Source organism: Homo sapiens, chromosome 7 (assembly GCF_000001405.40).
Source record: "Homo sapiens chromosome 7, GRCh38.p14 Primary Assembly".
In the NCBI taxonomy this organism is placed as follows: domain Eukaryota; kingdom Metazoa; phylum Chordata; class Mammalia; order Primates; family Hominidae; genus Homo; species Homo sapiens.
This window is the reverse complement of record NC_000007.14, coordinates 92,401,693-92,407,692: the sequence shown is the minus strand read 5'-3', so window position 1 is coordinate 92,407,692 and position 6,000 is coordinate 92,401,693.

The following is a 6,000-nucleotide window of genomic DNA, read 5'->3' as shown; positions in this document are numbered from 1 at the left end:
TTACTGTGTATACACCTACCAAAGTGAAGACACAGTGAATTAATTCCATACAAAAAAGTAAATTCAGCTGGGAAGCTTAAGGTTTTTCATATTCTCCTTGGCATCAAAACCTCCATGCACATAGTAATAGGGACACGTGACAGCCCCCTTGCTTTCTGAAGTTTTCCCTTTCCCAGTACGGCATTAGGCATTTTTGTTGTCTCAGCAATGTTCCTAACCACATGCAGCCTATTGTGTGAGCTTATTGTACATGCCATTACGTAGTGGTTATGACTTGATTAAAAGTCCTTACACTTCTATGACAATATTTTGATTTCTGCATTTAGTAAAGGCTCTGAGCAAAATACACCTCTTAGGGTCAGTCTATCCAATGAGTAGATTGATTTGTTCTCAATATTTTAAGTTTTGTTTGAAAAGAGAGCCAATAATTTGAAAATCTGTCAGGAGTGGCCCAAAATCCAACAATGGGTAGCACATTTATAAGTCAACCCAAGATGAACATAAAAGGGTAATGACAGATTACTGGCCATGAAAAGAGAGAGGGGAATCCATTCTTCTGGCTTCCGGCTACACTTTCTATAATGCACACAAATGTAGGGACTACCTAGAATTTACTTTTAATTGTTATTTTTTATATTATTCCAAATGAGTATTCCCTTATCTAGCTCTAGGCATAGTTGGATGAGCACATCTATGTGTACACAACTGGACCTTGGTGAAACTACTCATGTTAAAGACTAGTGCAGTTAGCCATGTTCTTTTAAAAATCAGTATGCCACTTGGCACTCATAGGCTCAAATAACGTCAGTGGCTAAAATGTTGTGGAATATATTAGACATTACTGTCAAGAATGAATGTTAGTAGTTTCTTACCAACATTGGTAGTACCTTAATCCAAAGATACTTGGATTAAGTATATTTGCTTAATCCAAGTTTCTGAAACAAATGAATTAGTTGTTCAAGATATCTTCAATGGCTCCCAAGTTGTAGTAATATTGACAGCTCATAATGCATTAAGATAACATTTGATTTATTGAATTGTTGCTCTAAAGCAGGGGTCAGCAAACCATAACCTATTTGCCAACTTCAGCTTGCCATCTGTTTTTTTTAAATTTTAAAATAATTCAGTAATTTAATAGAAATAATTCAATAATTCAAACAGGTTCATAGGAAGTTGCTATTATAGAGAGGCCCTGTGTATGCTTTACCCAGTTTCCTCCAATGAGTACCTTTCACATAATGTGCAATATCAAAACCAGGAAACTGACACTGGTAAATGTCTATGTATATTTCTATATGATTTTATCACATGTAGATTCACGTGGCCACCACCGATACAGACTATGCCATCATCACAAAGATGTCCCTTGTGTCACTCCTTCATAGTCACACACACACCTACCTGCCCCCCACCATCCCTAACCGCTGGCCAACACTAATTTGCTTCCAACTCTTATTATTTTGTCATTTCAATAATGTTATATAAGTGGAATAATATAGCATGTGATTTTTTCAGACTGCCTTTCTTTTTACTCAGCATAAGGCCCTTGAGATTCATCCAAGTGGTTGAATCAATAGTTTGTTCCTTTTTATTGCTGAGTAGGATTCCACTGCATAGATGTACTACTGTTAACCATCTACGAGAGGACATTTTGGTGGATTTCAGGTTTGGCTATTACAGATAGTTGCTATGAACAAATGTGTACAGGTTTTTGTGTGGAGATAAGTTTTCATTTCTCTGTGACAAATGCCCAGAAGTGCAAGTGTTGGGTCATATGATAAGTATATGCTTAAGTTTTTAAAGAAACTACCAAATTATTTTCCAGGATGGTTGTACCATTTTATATTCCCATCAGCAATGTATGAATATTCATTTCTCCACATCCTTACCAGCATTTGGTGTTGACACTAATATTTATGTTAGCCATTCTGATAGGTGTGTAGTGTCTTACTGTGATCTTAATTTGCATTTCCCAGATGGACAGTGATGTTGAACAAATTCCATGTGTTAGTTATTTATCTTCTTTGGTGAAATTTTTCATCTCTTTTGTCCATTTTATATTGGATTGTCTTTTTGCTGTTTAGTTTTGAGACTTCCTTATACATTCTATGAGTTGTCAGATATGTGGTTTGCAAATATTTTCTCCCAGGTTTGTCTTTTCATCTTCTTTATCAGATCTTTTGTAGAGCAAAAGTTTTACATTTTGATGAAGTCCAGTTTATCATTTTTTTCTTTTATGAATCATGCTTTTGGTGGCAAGTCTAAAAATTCTTTGCTTAGCCTAGATCTTAGAAGACTTTATGTTCTTTTCTAAAAGTTTCACATTTTACATTGAAATCTATGATCAACTTTAAGTTTTATATATAAAGTGTGAGTTTTAAGTAGAGGTTCTTAAGTTTTGCCTGCCTTATATCATACCAATTGTTCTGGTGCCATTTGTTGAAAATGCTATCCTTTCTCCTTTTGCGCCTTTGTTAAAACCAGTTGACAATATTAGTGTGAGGCTATTTCTGGTTCTCTGTCCTATTCTATTGATCTACGTGTTTATCCATTCACCAGTATTGCACTGTCTTGAAAAAGGGTAGCATGGTTCCTCTATTTTAGTTTTCTTTTTCAAAATTGTTTTAGCTACTCTAGCTCTTTTGCCTTTCCATATACATTTTAGAATTATCCATAGCTACAAAACATATCACTGAGATTTGGCACAAATTGTTGCCCAGCAATTGAACTAAGTCCAGCCATTCTGATATCAGCTTGTGGCTGTGCTATGGGCAGTTAAGTTGGGCACAAAATTTCCCCCAAAGGCACAGCTATAATTTTTCAAGTAAAATTGAGATACTGCTAGGGCCAGGCTACTGCCCTCTCAAATCTATCATTTCTATGTGACTAGCAAGGCCTGCTGGAGACTTTCCATCTGGTTAATTCTCCAATTAAGAGTTGACCCACCCTAAAGTCAAGATGTCAGACCAGGAAGTCCCAAGGTTTCCATGGGTTAGGTATTCAGTTTCGAGAGATGCACATTAATAGCTGCCTGTTTTTCAAAGTGGATGCTGTTTGGTGGTTGCGTCAGGTAGGTGGCCACACTGGGTTGGAAAAGGCTTGAGTGCTCTGAGTGCAATTAAGTCAGTCAGCAATTTCCCTTTCTCCTCCTGGGATTTTGTATTGTGTCTGGAGGACCACCAGGAGGGGTCAGAGACACGTTGGGGAGCAATTTACACAGTCCATTATTACCTCTGTACATGTGGGAGCCCTTGAAAGGGAGAATCCCACTGACAATCATCAGACAGGTAAGTGTGGGCATACAACACATCAATTCCATTGTACATTTAGATTTAGAAGCCACTTTACATTGAATCACCAAAAAGGCCCCGCCCACAAGGCCCTATTAGCTTCCCTTCCTCACCACAGAACATGTTAAAAAGCCTTTTACACCACAGGAACACAGACCACAGACCAACGAGTTGAAAATGTGTGCAAGTCAGGGGCTACACGCGGCAAATGAGTGCCCGGTCACATTACCCCTAACCAGGAGGGTTGCAAAAGAGGCTGTCTGTGGGGAACAAACTTAATTTTCAGCCTTTTTTCTCCTTTAGCCTCTTGTTTCAGGATCAGTGCCCGAACACTGACAACTACCTCTCCTGTGGCAGTGGTGAGCCCCTACAGCATCCAGAAAGAACTGGGGCCCCGGGCTTCTATTTTCTCCCATGCACACCACCACGTTTTACCCCGAAGTCTTCGGCACCTTCTGTCACTCCTGCACCCAGCACCTTGCCCTCATTACTGGCTGAATCAGCTGTGGCCTGCTCTGCACTTTTAGGCATGGCATTGCCTTCACTTCGGCATTTGAACAGTGTTGCAACTGCTTGCAGCTCAATCAAATAACCTTCTGTTTTCAGTCTATCCAAGGCTCTCAATCGAAAAGCAAGGTTCTTATTGATAACACCATTTATTTTACATTGTAACAGGAGTTGCTGACTCCTTACCTTGAAAACATCCCTTCCTCTGCCTGCCTGCAGGAGTAACAAAGCACCGTTTGCACTGTTTGTTTCAATCTCACCTCTTGTTGCTAAGCCTCTAAACATTGTCTCCTGTTCATGAATAGGTAGGACAGTGGGAACCCTTAATCTCCACCAACCCTCGCCCTATATCCATCATTAGGGTTAGAGAATTCACTACCAGATCTCAGGGAGTCTTACATTCCAGAACCTGGCCCATGGTTCCTTTTTCAGAATATCATGTCTTTGTCAGCATCCCATCCTTGTTGCCAAAACTCTCAGTTCCAGGATTTCACTTTACCCTACTGACAAACGAGTAAGTTAGCCTGTTACAATCTCAAGAATGCTGACAGAAGACATGAGACTCTTGAGTCAGAGGCAAAGGACTTTATCACTCATGGCACAGCACTCAGAATGAACCTCAGCATATTTGCATCAGTTCCCCTTGTCTCCAGTTTCAAGGGGGCAATGCAAAGGACCTGGATGGACAGCAAGCACACGGTGGGGTTCATGTTGTAGTTCAGCTGAACACTGGGTGTGAGGAATCCACTTCTTAAGCAGTTAAGCCTGCTCCTTGATCTCAAGTTACTAGTTACATAAATCCTGAGATGGCTCAGGCAAAATTGCCAACAGGGCCTTGCAGTCTTGGCACACCTAGTAAGATAAGAGGCCTGACTGAATCCTCCAACAATTATCCTTTTTGTACTTTGGCTTTGTTCACTCTCATGTGTTTGTCTCAACCTGTTATGTACTGATGGCTCACACAGGCTAGGCACTTATGCAATAAATACTTAATGGGACAGCTGGCTAAGACATGAAGACAGCTTGATTAAGAATATTGTCAAATTGCAGTTTCAAAGAGTGAAGAAGAATAATTCCTTCAGAAGTTTGGCCACCACTAAGTCTGTCAGCTACCTGTGAGTCCTAAGTGGAACTGAGGTCTAAAGGAAACTTTTCTGATTCATCTTTAAGAAATAAGTCTACTGCCAGTTCCTAAAGTACTGTCACATAATACAGTCTAGAAGAAGCCACTTCTATCTTTCTAGAAAGAAATCTTTCATTCCGGTGAGAAGGCTGTAACAACTGACAAGACAATATAATGTTGCCAAGGAGAAGACCCAGTAATTATGCCTGTAGCACAATGCTGAGATGAAACAACTTCTGGGCCAGGCACAGTGGCTCTCACCTGTAATCCCAGCACTTTGGGAGGCCCAGATGGGCGAATTTCTTAAGCCCAGGAGTTCAAGACTAGCCTGGGCAACATGGTGAAACCCCGTCTCTACAAAAAATACAAAAATTAGCGAGCATGGTGGCATGTGCCTGTAGTCCCAGCTACTTGGGAGGCTGAGGTAGGAAAATCACCTGAGCCCGGGAGGTTGAGGCTGCAGTGAGCTATGATCACATCACTGCACTCCAGCCTGGGCGACAGAGTAAGATCCTTTGTTTTTCTCAGAAGAGAAAACAAAGAAAACAAACAAAAAAAAACCTACTACTCAGTCCAAGAGCTGACTGCATGAAAAATTTTTTCCTTTGGAGTTATTTCAGCCTTAAAACACCCCCAAAGTTTGTATTATCACTTAATATTTAGATTCCAAGGTTTTACTCTTCAGAGATATACTATCACTGCTTTTAAATTATGATCAAACTTTAATAAATTCCAGATTTTAATTCATAACACGTAAATGATAAATATTTGAGGACTCAAAGGAGATAAAAAATGAGATCAGTGGCTGTAATGAACAACAATTAAGGAATAATTCAGCCTATGAACATTGGTAGTTAAGCTTCAGATCCACATAATGAAAGGCATAAATAAGATGACGCCACTTTAAATGATTATCACCAGCAGACCCCATGAAGCACCAGCTGGGGCATGGTCAAATGTCATGGGTTATTTTGGTAACTCATAAGGGACACAATAATAAAGTGAAAGAGAAGCAGGCATTTTTATTCACATGGCATAAAATTTTTTTCTTTCCTAAGCAATTTCACAAAACATATCTTA